Genomic DNA, 14,234 nt, shown 5'->3' on the forward strand with positions numbered 1-14,234 from the left:
GAAGTACCCTCCAGCTCTAAAATTATGTGATGCTAGCACAGATACCAAGACTCTAGTAGCAATCCTGCCAAAATGAATATAGTGTCTTAGATTAGAAGTTGTTAGAGATGTCATCAAATCTGGACTCTAAACATTAAAAATCTATACTAATAACATTCAGAGTAGGTTCATGCCTATGATTCTAAAGACCTGCATTTGCTATTGGGCAGTCTTGTATTCTAGTGAACTTGACTCTTACACCCAGGTATAGATCTCAAAAGACAAACTTTAAAAGGTATTAGCAATACTTTATTGAATATATTAACTGACAACTGTGGTTAATAAAAACTAATATTTTTAATAACTTCATTTTTAAGTATTTATAAATATAAACTGCATTTCACTCAGTTTCTTTTCCACCAGTTGGAATTGTAATTAAAACATGTTAAAGTTCTTCACATTCATTCACACAATTGCACTCCAGAAATGGTCAAATGCAGTAGCTTATCTGCATTACATTTGCCAGGGTATATGCTGAATGTTTTGCTTTCCCCTTCTTAAGACACTGAGAAAAAAAAAAAGTTATATGAAATAGGCATTAATTTTCCTCTTTTTTATATAAAAAAGTCCAAAATTCTCTGCCAAAATTCCTTTATCTTTTTAGGTTAAAATAAGTGAATAAGTTTTGTTTGTTTTTATGATCCAGTCAGCAAGATTCCCACTGGTATGTTACATCATTTTCTTGAAGCTGATTATGTGGCACAGTCCATAGTCTGCCTTGACTTTGACAGTTCTCGTTTCAGTTGTTCAAAGCACACAAACATAATGACGTTCCAGGATCCAAGTCGCAAGAAGGAAGGTACCAACCTAGAAAAGTGCATGTCATCGTTCGATTAATTTGTTTGATTTTTTTTTTTTTTAATTTTTGAGATGAGGCTTCACCCTGCCGCCCAGGCTGGAATGCAGTAGTGTAATCATAGCTCACTGCAACCTCGAGCTCCTGGGCTTAAGTGATCCTCCCACCTGAGCCTCCTGGAGTAACTGGGACTAGAGACTGCACCACCACACTCAGCCTGAAATTCTTAAAGTGATTATAGCAGGTTATGCTTCTCATTTTGCCACTCCTCAAGTGAAGATGCTTAAAAGTACCTACTCTTCATCTTTCCCTCCTCTGCTGAAAATAAATTTTCCTCTAGATGTCCTATATTACTTCAAAACAACACAGCCCTGATGATCACATCTATACAAATCCACAAATATCCTTCACTCCCAAAACATGTCTTTTCTTCACTGACATGAACTTTTTCAAAAACTCTTTCCTTTTTTGAGGGAAGGGGGAATTTTTGCTTGTTTTGCTTTGCTTTCTGAATGGGAGGTAGGAAACTATTAGAAGGGGGAAGGAAGAAGAGAAACCAAAGAAGTATTGAGTAGAGTCAAGAAATCAGTGCTGTCTCAATCTTGACGATTCTTGTCCTTAGAGAAATTGTTACTGTTTAAATGGCTTTTATTGTTTAACCTATAAAAAACACCCCTCTGCCCCAATTTTTTTCCTTCAAGTCTCTTAACATGTTTCTCTTCACTTCCCAATGTGGGGTATTTTGCTGCAAAAAAAAAAAATCATAAAATTACATTTCAGTAGCATTAAGTACACACACATTGTGTGTAACCATCACCACTATCCATCTCTAGAACCTTTTTGTCACCCCAAAAAGAAACTCTCTACCCATTAAACAGCTCTCCATTTTTTCCTACCTCCAGCCCCTGGTAACTTCTATTCTTTCTGTCTCTATGAATTTGACTACTCTAGGTACCTCATTTAAGTGTAATCATACAGTATTTGTCCTTTTGTGTCTGGCTTATTTCACTTAGCATAACGTTTTCAAGGTTCATCCATGTTGTAGTATTTCTTCCCCAAAAGGTTTTTAAATTTGAAAAAAATAAAATTATTAAATGGTTAATGGTTTAATAACTGGTATATCCATTTTAAGTTAATTTTATAATGAACTTCATTTGTATTAATGTATCATAAGTACAGATTATGATGAGTTGGAACTTTTTATAAAATGTGTATGATGCATTCATGCTTAATTTATAAAGCTTGAGGAATGGCCTTACAATTTAAAAAGGTAATATAATTTTATTATTAAACCACTAGTGTAATCCTTGTGGAATATATTGACAGATTACTTAATACTGTATTTTCTCCTCCTTCTCCTTCTTCTTTTTTGAGACAGGGACTTGCTCTGTCTCCCAGGCTGGAGTGCAGTGGCACAATCATAGCTCGCTGAAACCTTGAACTCCTGGGCTCAGGAGATCCTCTTGCCTCAGCTTCCCAAGTAGAGGGGACCATCAGTGCGTGCCACCACACTCAGCTAATTTTTAAATTTTTTGTTGAGACAGGGTCTCGCTTTGTTGCCCAGTCTGGGCTCAAGTGATCCTCCTGCCTCCATCTCCCAAAGTGCTGGGATTACAGGTGCGAGCCACCACGCCGAGCCCATACTATATTTTCTTAGGAAGGTAGTTTCTGATACAACATTGCATTATGGAAATATGTAATCTATTACACAACACTTGTTTCTAGGTGAGTGTAATAATTACCCAAATCAAATACTTTTCTGCATCACTTTTCTAGATTGGTGGTGATGTCTTATCTCTAGTTTTACAATGTTAAAACTTGAGTCCATCAAATTAAATCAAATCAAATCTTGTTCTCTCATAGCTCTCTATTATGATTTCCCTCTACTTTATAACTTTCTTGCCCAGAGAAGGCAAAATACTGTCTGCATTTCCAGTAGATTGGGACCAGTGGAAAAGGCACTGGTCTTGAATGAGCCTTTGATCAAAGTTGAGAAAATTTGAATATCATGGCTTTTTACTTTCTGGCACAGTGGAATTGGTGGATTGGAGAAATCTGTGGCAAGGAAAAGTCAATACTAAGTATATGAATATACTAAGGCTTGTAAGCTAAATGTCGGTTGCTTGACATGAGAGTGTCCCAAAGCACACAGACAGCCAGAACACATTACAGATACACAAGATCATATCTTACCCCTTGAAGAAAGCCGTTGGTCCTTCGTTAGTGAACACTTTCATTGCACAGTTGGGCACACTTTTGTACTGTCCTGGTGGAGAATTAATAAATCTGGTTTTTACTACATCCACCGGGGAGGACATAGCTGTTGCGCAAAATCCAGCGATAAGAGCCGACACCAAGTGGCAGGGGACGTCATCTAAAATGGATCGATGAAACAGGTCAACATCAGACTTTTGGGGGCTTGCAATTTAGTTATCTGTCATATCTTTATAAACCTATTGATAACAGTAGGTCAATGAAGATGTCTTATAAATAAATAAAATAAAATAAGAAAGGTATTGCACTAGAAAAAGAAGGTAAAGAGTAAATGGCTTAATAGATTGTTAACACTTTAGGAAAGTAAACTGTTAGTTTCCTCTGTGCCTTTAAGGCCTGTAATAATGCCTAATATATGAGCATCTAATACTTTTTTATTGAAATAAGGGAAATTTCAATGTCTCTAGAAGTTGTTAGAATATTATTTTTAAGAACCTATCTTATGGTATTACTTTTTGGATGAGACCACTGATAAGCTCCTTTTATAACTAGATCTTTTGGATATAGTATGCAGGATGGACTTACCTCCTGAATTCTGCTGTATAAAGAATAAGATTCTAACAAAAGTCCCATATATTAGTATTAAATGAGAATAATGCTGACATGAAATTGCCTGTTATTTTTGTTGCAAAATATTTTTGTTGTGGCAAAACTTCTTAAACTTAATATTTTGGTCTTTTCCTGCTTCTCACAAAGTTATATATGGTTCAAAATTACTTAATTTTTAAAAAGAGAAAACTATTGGAGTTAAGAGATTGAGTATAAGGTGGCTGCAGAAGCTCCAAGATGAACTTCTAAAGGTGCAGACCTGTTTGTTATATGAAATGGGAAGTTACCTGCTAATATGTTGTTTTTCACAAAGGCCTCCTTCATTAGATCATATGTTACTAGCTCTGTACAATTGATGATGACACTTCTCATCAGATTGGGAGTAGTCCCTGGGGAAAAAAAAAAAGAAAATGTTTATTAACTCTACTTTACAATAAGTTGCTAGTTGTATGTATGTGCTTTGGTGGTTATAAAACCCATTTTGAAGTTAGTTACCTTTCCAAAGACCCGTCAAGCCTTCGGTTGTTGCTATTATTCTGTACGCATTATAAGTCCCCGTGTAGCGAGGTTTGATTCCGTGGAGATGGCTCTGTGCTTGAAGTCTGACTTTCACGACCTCTGTGGGTTGCCCAATGAATACTGCCACTCCTCCAGTCGTTAGACCAGCTAAAATCTTGCTTCCTAAACTAGGTGCTGCTATCCAGAGAGAAAAAAAATTATTAAGAAAAAAAATTAAAGACCTAGAATGCATGCATGTCTTTTTAATTTTCAGTGGTTCATATTTTTGTATTTTTTTTTTTTTTGAGATGGAGTCTTGCTCTGTTATCTAGGCTAGAGTGCAGTGGTGTGATCTTGGCTCACTGCAATCTCCGCCTCCCGGGTTCAAGAGATTCTCCTGCCTCAGCCTCCCAAGTAGCTGGGATTATAGGCACGTGCCACCACAGCCTGCTAAGTTTTGTATTTTTAGTAGAGACAGGGTTTCACTATATTGGCCAGGCTAGTCTTGAACTCCTGACCTCAGGTGATCCGTCTGCCTCGGCCTCCCAAAGTGCTAGGATTACAGGTATGAGCCACCCACCTGGCCCATATTTTTGTATTCTTACAGCTTTTCTATTTCTCTAATGCTTGTTTATGTGTTGATCATGTACTAAATGTGCGTCAACTCAGAGTAAGGCTAGAAAACTTCAGGTGTCTGAAATTTTTTAAAAATGAAGACTTTCAAGGAACAAGAAAACACAATGCTTATTTTCACAGTGGCCTGATTCTTTCCTGTGTTCAACTTGGTTCTTTCCCACATTTAGCTCTCTTTTCAGTATTATCCGACTGTGAGGAGGCACCCATCACCAATGAGGCTTGATCTTTCTCCCACGAATGATCATGTTAATTATGGGACTTGGTGGCCTTAGATGAAGCCCAGTGGACAAACTGCACCAAAATGGGCCATCAAGTAGTGTTAGGCTACAACATGTGAAGGGAACAAAAATAAGAAGACAGGAGAGAAGAAAGTGATTTTTGTCTTAAAATTTTGAAAAAAATAGCTTATGTTGCTCAAGACAGATTTCATTAAGTACAAATAGTCTTGAAGCCCAATATTCATTTCTATCATTAAGTAAACATAAAATTAAGGTTCAGTAACATTTACTCAGCAGAGACTTTCTCAGTCATTATAATTCTGTTTCCTAATTTGTCAAAAAGGGATAATAATATCTACCTCTTAGAGTTGTGTGAGTTAAATAATATTGATAAAGAGCTTACACTGTCTAGCATAAAGAAAATCCACAAAACTGGCAGCAATTTTTAAATCACTACCATGATTGTACTCTTCTCATCATGCTTTACCAGGAGCTGGGCATATGACTGACAGCTGTCTTTTAATTAGCAATATCATATGATTACAAATGCCTTCACTTTTAGCTCACATTTGTAATGCACTGCACTACAACGTAGTGTATCTTGATGTACTCATCCTATCCTCCAATCTCCAACTTTCAAATCCCTCTCTTCACTTCCCAATCAAGCTGGAAAAGAGGCTTTTTTTTTAAGAACTAAAAGAAATTTATTTACAAAACATATTGTTTGTCTTTACTTCTCAGAGCCCATTTCTTCCTCAGTCCCCTACAATATAGCTTATACCACGCTACTCTGCTGAAGATGTTTTTGCTAGAAAATCAGTGAGCTTCTATTTGTTATGTACAATGATCACTTTTCAGTCCTTTCCACACTCTCTGCTGTTTGACCCTATTGGTAGTCCCTGCTGTGACTTCCTGGAATCTGGCTCAGATTTTCTCCTAAAAGGAGCCCACTAAATAAACTGAATCATGTGCCTACTGGCCATTACCTGTTGACATGGCCTAAACCAAATTTCTTGTCTTCCCCCTAAGACAGCTTCTATACATCCTCTCTCAATAAAGGGTATCTTTAAACAGAAACTTGGAAGTCATCTCATATTTCTACCTGTCCCTTATGCCTTACTTCTATTTGTTCACCAAGTCAATTCAATTATACTTTCTCAATCTTTCTGATTGACATCTCTTTTTCCCTATTGCCAGTGTTTTAGGGCATACCCTGATCATTTCTTGCTTTCTAACTTACCTCTTTCTTACTCCTTTTACATATATACTCTATCTGCTGCCAAAGTGATCTTTTGAAAATGTAAATTGTTTATGCCACTCCCTTGCTTAATATTTTTACAATGACTTCCCACCACTGTAAGGATAAAATCCAAACTCCTTAGCACCGCCTGCAAGGCCTTCTGTCATCTGGCTCCCTCCTGTCTCTGTGGCTTCACCCCTCCTTCCTCACCAACATGTCCTCCCTGTGCTATGTTCACTCGACTCCTCACTGAGTCTTTGCACATGACCTTCACTCTACTTGGAAGCTCCTTTCTCACCCCTTTGCCTGGAGTACTCCTGCTGGCCCTTCCAGAATTGATCCAGACGTTAATTCTTCAGGAAAATCTCACGGACCATACCTCCATGGCTAGCTTAAGTAGTTCTGTTTAATATAGCCACCATCTTGTAATTACAGTTAGTCATGTGCTGCATACATGATGGTGGTCCCGTAAGATTAGAACAGAGCTGAAAAATTCCTATCACCTAGTGACATCCCAGCCCCATAAGACTGTAGTGTAATGCATTACCTTTTCTATTTTTAGGTACACAAACACTTAACTTTATGTAACAATTGCCTGTAGTATTCAATACCAACATGCTGCACAGGTTTGTAGCCTAGGAGCAATAGATTATACCATATAGCCTAGGTGTGGCTATGCCATCTAGGTTTGTGTAAGTGCTCTCTGTGATGTTCATTCAACAACCAATTTGCCTCCTAACTCATTTCTGAGAATGTATCCCCATCGTTAAGTGAAGTAGGACTGTATTGTAATACAGCATGTATCATGGAATATAGTCATCTATTCACTTCTCCCCACACAACCCATACTCTCAACTGTAAGCTCTGTCTAGAGACACATCTGCCATCTAAACATCTAACATAGTTACTGGCACATGGCAGTTCAATAAAGCCTACTAAATAAACTGAATCTATATAACATAGAACACTGCCAACATATATCCTATTAATTTGGTGCCCAAAGTCCACAACAATTGGTAGAACAGTCAATCTGTGAAGAAAACCACCTGAACGGGCAGCTTTACCTCCTTTGTGTTTCCTCTCTTGCTACATCTATAAATAAAAAAATGCAGTTTTGATCTAGTAACATCCAGACTTTATCTTCACTTTGAAAGTACTTGTGTGGATAAGTATAACTTATATATTTGTATAGACAACATTTATAAATTATCCCATAAAATTATAGTATTGAAGGTTACTCACAGCAGAAATGATGAAATCTACAAGGTGGATTTCACTTAATGTATTCATTGTGCCATCAGCACATCTTCTCTCTGGCTTGTCTACTCCACATGAAAGTGCCTCTGATGTTGATTAGCTGTGTGATTTTGTGCATGTTACTTAACTACCCTGATATTCGGCTAACACTTTTTACTCACAGCAGTGTTGTGCGGTTTGAATGATGGGCAGAATCATATGAGAAGTGCAGAAGGCAGTAGAGAACAGGGTTAGGAGCCTGGAGTCCGAGGCCAGACTGCCTGGGTTTGAACCCTGGCTCTGCCCCCTCCCAGCTGTGTGACCTTGGGCAAGTGATGAATCTGCTCTGTGTTCAGTTTTCCCATCTGCCAAGGGATAATGGTACTAATACCCTTCCAGTTATAATGTATCTGAAGCACTTAGAACAATGTCTGGTTCATAGTTAAGCCCTCAAATAAATGCTACCTAAAGTGACAGGAATTCTTAGAGTGCACTGGCACTCAGGAAATATGTTTCCTTTTCTTTTTCCCCTAAACAAACTCCCTGCAGCATTCGTCCACTTTTTCTGCTCTGGTCTTTCCTGGACCTGATGAGGAACCTCTTAAGAGGAAATATGTCTTTTCCTGTCCTTTCAACTCTCTTCACAAAGTCTGGCTTTCTTTGCTTCAAACAGAAGGCTTTGAACTTTGTTGCATACACAAATGATGAGGGAAGCTTGTGGAAAGACACTCTGGTCTCTAGCCTGAGGATTCAGACTCAGAGGACCATGGTAGTCCTCGTTTGGATTTCTGACAAGCTCCATAGATGTTTCTGATATACTTCCCTCTTTGGAGAACTTTAAGTTAAACATTTTTCTGTAGCCCACCCATATTCTCCAGATGGAGATCCAAACTGGGCACAAAACTTCCATGACTGGGTGACCTTTACAAGTATATATCTGCATCTAAAAAATCGATTTTGCATACTTTTTTCTATGAACAATGAGCTAATGTTTGGGGAAGGGAGAGTTCAAATATGAATGTTTTCTCGCCAATTTGTTATGAAAACCACTCCTCTGTGTGTTACACTTTTTGGAACAGAGCGGAGCCCAAGGCTTTTCTGCCCCTCCCAGGAACGCTCACGGCTTACTTTCTTTCCCTGCGGTGAGGAACTCCTGGACCGTGTCGTAGAGGCCGATCCTGAGAGAGGCGGAGCTGATTTGCCGCTGAAGCCCCGCAGGCAGCCCGCTGTAGAGTTTCATCCGCCCTTCTGTTTTTACCACAGCGGTGATTGTTCCCAGGACACCTTTATACCTAATAACACTGGACGTCGGGCATTCACCTTGGACCTGGAAATAAGAAAGGTGCAGAACAGAAGGGAGCGAAATTGAGTTCACTCTTAAGCCAAGATTTCCCCCTGTGTTCCTATTTTCCGTTTCTTTTCTCAGCAACATTCCTCTTCCATCCACCTCCCTCTACCGTGTGTGTGTGTGTGTGTGTGTGTGTGTGTGTGTGTGTGTGTGTGTGTTCGCTCACGCGCAGATGGAGGGAGGCTGGCTACAATGCACATTTTGAATATCCCCCTCCCCAGGAACTCTCCAGAACCCCTAGGGCAGTAGGATAGGACAGAACCCCCGAAGAATCAAAGAAAGGAAAAAGCACCTGACTAGTAAACTCAGGAGAGGCCAATATTCTCAGCTCTTAAAATACTAAGTGCACCCTAAATTTTGGGAGAATTTGGTAGTAGTCATGGTCAACCCATTCTCTGTGGCCCTGGTGGTTCTTCAGCTAATCCCAGAAAAAGTTCCAGTTTCCCATCCTAAAGCACCAGCCCTGGGACAAGGCCAGACTGCTTTGGAAGGTCACCTACCCTACCTAGAAACAGTGGTTACACCAAAGCAGAGAATAAATGGAATGCACGCAACAGCGTCCCCTCTGTCCTGAGACCCCTTGTCTTACCCCTCTGCCTAGCTACCTGGAGCCGGACTTTGGCCGTGTCCAGCGGGAAGGTGATCACGTCCGCCAAGCACGCCGCTATTCCAGCTGAGAAGAGCTGGACCCCCAGGGTCGGGTGTACGTCCGAGGCTGTCAGGCCCCCCATCTTCACTCAGAGACTGGAGATGCAGAGGAAAAGGGCTCCAGCCCCGAAGGTGGAGGAAGTTCCTTTCCCTTGCTCTTCACGCCTGTCCGCCGGGCAGCAAACCCGATTTCTGTTTTTTGAACCGACCGCCGGGCAGCGGCGGTGCAGAGGCGGCGGCTGCAGACGGAGCGCGGTGTTGGGGGCCGAGTCCCCGCGTCCCCTCCTACCCACCCTCGCGCCAGCAGGACCCTCTGCGTTCCGGTCTTCCGCTGGGACTTATATAGCTGGGCCGCTCCCGGGCTGGGCCGCGCGAGGTCTCAGAAGACCCGGGCGTGGGACCTGCCGGGGGCGTGTCCGGGAGCACCGGGTCCCTCCCATTCCCATTCTCGCTCGGTGCCTCGGGAGCCCTGCTTCGCTCCCCGAAAGCCCTGGGCCGGCCGCTGGTTGTCTGCGCCCCGCACACCGCACGTCGGAGGGAGGGCGCACCGCGGCGGTCAGCACCCGCGCCCCCGCACGTGCCTCACCTTCTGTCACCCTTTGGCTGCACACCTTCGGCTGGGGCTTTCGGAAACCAGCACGATATCAGAGCCTTGGTGAAAGGTTCTGCCTAGCTGGAGCTCTCCCAGAAGGAAGAGCGGGGCACTCTTCCATTCCTCCAACTCCCCAGACATCTTGCAGGCACCTTGCGGCCTTCTCTGCTTCCCTTTCCTCTCCTTTAAACTTCTCATCCTCCTTCCTCCGGATTCCTTCTCTTCCCACTACCAAATTCAGACTTGGAAGAATCCCACACAGGAACCAAGAGCACTCTGAACTTGTCAAAAAGAGCGTTTCGTTTCATCACTTTTTGAGAGAAGATGTCAAACGAGACAATAGACACACTAGAAAGCAAATAGTACATTGCTAAAGCACCGTACAAAATGAGATACCACCTGTTCCTTCTAATTAGATTTCTTAGAGGGTGCAGTGGAAAGGACAGGGCAGGTTGCTTGGCTCCAGGTGCAGCTCTCCAGCTTACCAACTCTGTGAACCTGGGAAAGTCATCTGTACTCCAGCTTTTATTTTCAACAGTGTAAAATGTGGTTCCAGAGCTAGCCCAGGTCTGAAATCTCCCTGCTAACTTACCTATAATGATGTAATATGTGTTGGTTGTGTGGCCTTTCCTAGTTCGATCTTTGTGCAAATTTTATTTTCAATGTTTATTCTTGTGAAAACTTAAGAAAACAAAAAACTTTTAAAAAAAACAGTGGGAAATAATAGGAAACTGGAGAAAGAGGGAAATGGACAAGGTCAGGTCCCAGCTTTCAGAACCTCTCAGTTAAGCCAAAGATGGATTTGATATTACCAGAATCCACGTCCAGCTATTTAGGGCCTCTGGTACTCAACCCTGACTTAAGCCCCCCAAAAGAGTCAGTGGAAGTCAGAGTCATCTCCTCCAGGAGCAGGAGAAATAAGACATGAATAAAGAATAATCTCCAAACCCTCTATAAGTAAAGGTTGTGTACTGTGCAAGAAGCCAGTCCTAAGGCACTTCCAAGGGAGGTCAGGCTTGCAGAGCTTCCCTGAAAAAGGCAATGTTGACCTGACGGGTAGCCTCTGAAAAAAAATAGAAAGGAGAAGGAGCCAGCGAGGTTTCTCCTCTGCAAACACTTGTTGAAATAAAGATCAACTGAGGCAAATAAGTGGCATGCATACAGGCAAAGATGTTGGGGAAAGCAAGTCGCGTATATAGAATGCATTCTGTTGGCCTGACTGACTGGGAAATTGGGTGATGGGGAAGAAAGAGAGAGGTAGGGCAAGAAGTTGGTGAGGGATGAGGCTGTAGAAGCCAAATGAGAAGCAGAGCCTGCAAATCCATTATGAGTGTAGCTTCATGTTATCACCTGTGTAGTGCTTTACAGACTATGAAGTGCTCTCACATAAATGTCAGATTTAATTTGATAGACAATACAGCTTTATGAATGATTAGATGTGGAGTCAAAGATTACTCTATGTTTAAGAACATGGGTTGCAAGCTCAGTGACAGTACCAATGATTGTCATGAGGCAGTTGGTAAGGGGGGTGATTTTAGGGGTAAGAAGATTAAACCAATTTTTAAAGTCTTAGAATTATTTGGAGAGAATACTGTTGATATCCAGATAGAGAGCTTAGGAAGCTGCATTTAACATGCTAAAAGAGGAAGAAATAGAGGAGGTATTTGGTAGTCATGATATGGATGCAATGAAAGGGGCATGCTTTTCACGGGAAAATGGGGCTAGTCAAATAGGACTAGGAAAAGAATTCAAGGGCCAAACCATAGGGGGACCCAGACCCAGAGTTATAGTCTGGAAAGAATGGCTTTGTCAAAGGTAGAGTGAGAACAAGAAACAGTAACATATCCAGTGATAGAACTGGTATTTAAGAATATGATTAAAGAAAGATTGGGTCTGACCAGTGTCAAGTTTAGAAAAAATGTCAGGAGGACAAAAACAAAGAAAAACCTACCGGATTTGACTCTAACATTGTTGGTGATCTTAGGGAGTACAACTATGATGGAGTTGTTATGTTGTGAGGCTGATGGCTAAGCAGTGGTTAAGAATGTTGGTATAGTATGACTAAAGTGTACAAGAGGAGACCTTATTCCTTGTTGACTCTAGTGAACCTCTGCTATCAACAGGTTAATTCCCAGTCCTCACCCCAAAGCTACCCATGAATCTTTCTCAGTGGTTCTGTCTGTAGTAGTTTTAAAACATAATTGCAAATCCATCACATTCCTCCCATCAAAAGATGAGGGTACATATGCCTTCCCCTTGCATCTGGCAGGCTTATGAATGTTTTGACCAATAGAATAATACAGAACTGATGCCATGTGGCTTCTGAGACCAGATTATAAAAGTCCTTGTATCTTCTGCTTTACTCACTGCAACATTTGCTCTTGGAGCCCTGGGCCAGCATGTAAGAAAGCAAACTTCTCTGAGGCTGTTCATGCTGGAGAGGCCCCACATCATCATCCCTCTTTACCAAGGCACCAGGCACCAGAGTACAGCTATCTTGGACCCTCCAGATAAGCCTACCTGACAGTTGAATACCACCAAGTGATCTCCTATGATGTCAGTAAAGCAGAAGAATCGCCTAGCTGAGCCCAGTCTAAATTCCTGATCCATAAAATTGTGAGATATAATAAAATAATTATTGTATTAAGGTAGCAAAAGATAACTGTAACAGCACCTTTACTTGTTTGAGCAGTTGGGAGGGGCATGCATTCTCTCTTTGCCCCATCCTACTTTCACAACGAGGAAGGAGTTCAAGGCAGTGGGTGGGTAAAGAGTTTTAGATTTGGACTATAAGAAGAAGCCACAATACATTTGTAAAGAAGAAGCAAGGTAAATTAAAATTGTCTTTTTTTCCCCATAAGGCACATGTTTGCATGTTTTAAAGCCAGAGTATGACAAACTAGAGGAGAAAGTGAGAGGAAAACTATGATAAGGGAAGGAAATGTGAGAAATAAATAAATCTATTAGAAATAAGAAAGGTTGTTATCCAAAACAGGTAAGGATAGGTAGGGAGAGAGGACCTGTGACAGGATAAAGGGGCTGCCTTATTTAAACCTGGAAGGAAGAACGACAGTATAAGCTTCCAGGATATTAATATCAGGCTAACATGGACAGTTAAGAGCCTTTGCCAGGAGATAGTATGACTGTAGTTCAATGGTGACTGAGCACCTGGGATGTGCTAGACACAAGAGTGACTTCTAAGGGTCACAGGAGAAGCTGACGTCAAAAACTTCACACAAGGGGACCCTGAGAGGTCACAGAAGTTCAAGATTCTGAAAGTAGTTCTGGATTCCAAGGAGCAGGCTGGCTTCACCACTTCTGACAGGCTCTGGGAAGTAGGAGAAAGTTTGCCTCAGGTTGGAGAGAGCAGTAGGGGAGAGGGTGGTATCCCCAAAGGGTCAGATTTCTACTCTTCTGGCACAAAGAAGAAGCAGAGAGGTAAAGAATAGGTCAGTATGAGCAAGGGCAACTGACCCTTTATGACGTAGCAAAGGAGTGGCAGCAAGTTCTGAATGTAACAAATTCTCCTTTCCTTTTTGAAAATGTAGAACACATTAACAAATGCACTTGATCAAACTGTGGTCAATCAGAAATCGCTGCACAAAATGTCTTCCTATTAAATAAAAATCATACAGTGCTTTGCATTTGAATAGTGTTCTATACTTTCCCATAATTCTCTCATTAGCCACCACTGGGAAATACCCTGTTATAATTATACAGATAAATGTGCAAATGACAGAAGAATCAATTTCTAAAAGAAGAAATACAAACTTTTATAATGGGAGAGAGGATATATTTATTATCACTAATAAAAAAGCATATACTTCACCTAATAAATTAATACTTTGTCACTACCAAAGTTATAATTACTATAACATTTATATATAATATACATTTACATTAATATTATAAATAGTAATAAATTATGAATGTTATAATTACAAATTATGAATTTTAAAATGTAATAACCATAATATCAATACTATATTAGTGATGGTGTTATACATTGACACAATTTTTTTGGAAAACAATTTGGCAGTATACACTGAGCCAAGAGAAAGTCTATTTTTTTCTTTTCTTTTTCTTTTTTTTTTTGAAACAGAGTCTAGCTGTGTCACCCAGGCTGGAGTACGGTGGCACAATCTCAGCTCACCGCAACC

The 14,234-nt window shown here is 40.8% G+C and overlaps 1 protein-coding gene across 3 annotated transcripts; it reads right to left on the reverse strand.

The window, feature by feature from the left end:
- Positions 267–9,797, reverse strand: UCP1 (uncoupling protein 1). 3 transcript variants are annotated; one of them, NM_001440546.1, is made up of 6 exons: positions 9,440–9,797; positions 8,615–8,813; positions 4,154–4,351; positions 3,946–4,047; positions 3,029–3,209; positions 267–846 (listed from the first exon to the last, which is right to left on the reverse strand). In NM_001440546.1, exons 1-6 carry the CDS (start codon positions 9,563–9,565, stop codon positions 732–734), a joined length of 921 nt encoding a protein of 306 aa, NP_001427475.1. In that variant the 5' UTR covers positions 9,566–9,797; the 3' UTR covers positions 267–731. The 3 variants fall into 3 exon arrangements, with proteins under 3 accessions (NP_001427475.1, NP_068605.1, XP_011530530.1); NM_021833.5 differs by having other exon boundaries at positions 4,154–4,354; XM_011532228.3 differs by lacking the exon at positions 267–846 and adding an exon at positions 907–1,580 and having other exon boundaries at positions 4,154–4,354.

This window comes from Homo sapiens, chromosome 4, assembly GCF_000001405.40.
Source record: "Homo sapiens chromosome 4, GRCh38.p14 Primary Assembly".
NCBI lineage: Eukaryota > Metazoa > Chordata > Mammalia > Primates > Hominidae > Homo > Homo sapiens.

What these genes read in the sequence shown, in the direction of transcription:
- UCP1 (NM_021833.5), bottom strand. Translation starts at nt 9,565, where the DNA reads ATGGGGGGCCTGACAGCCTCGGACGTACACCCGACCCTGGGGGTCCAG. An exon ending in CCTCACCGCAGGGAAAGAAA is followed by an intron (nt 4,355 to 8,614) that starts GTAAGCCGTGAG and finishes CTCTCTGGATAG; the next exon opens with CAGCACCTAGTTTAGGAAGC. An exon ending in CTTGACGGGTCTTTGGAAAG is followed by an intron (nt 4,048 to 4,153) that starts GTAACTAACTTC and finishes TTTTTTCCCCAG; the next exon opens with GGACTACTCCCAATCTGATG.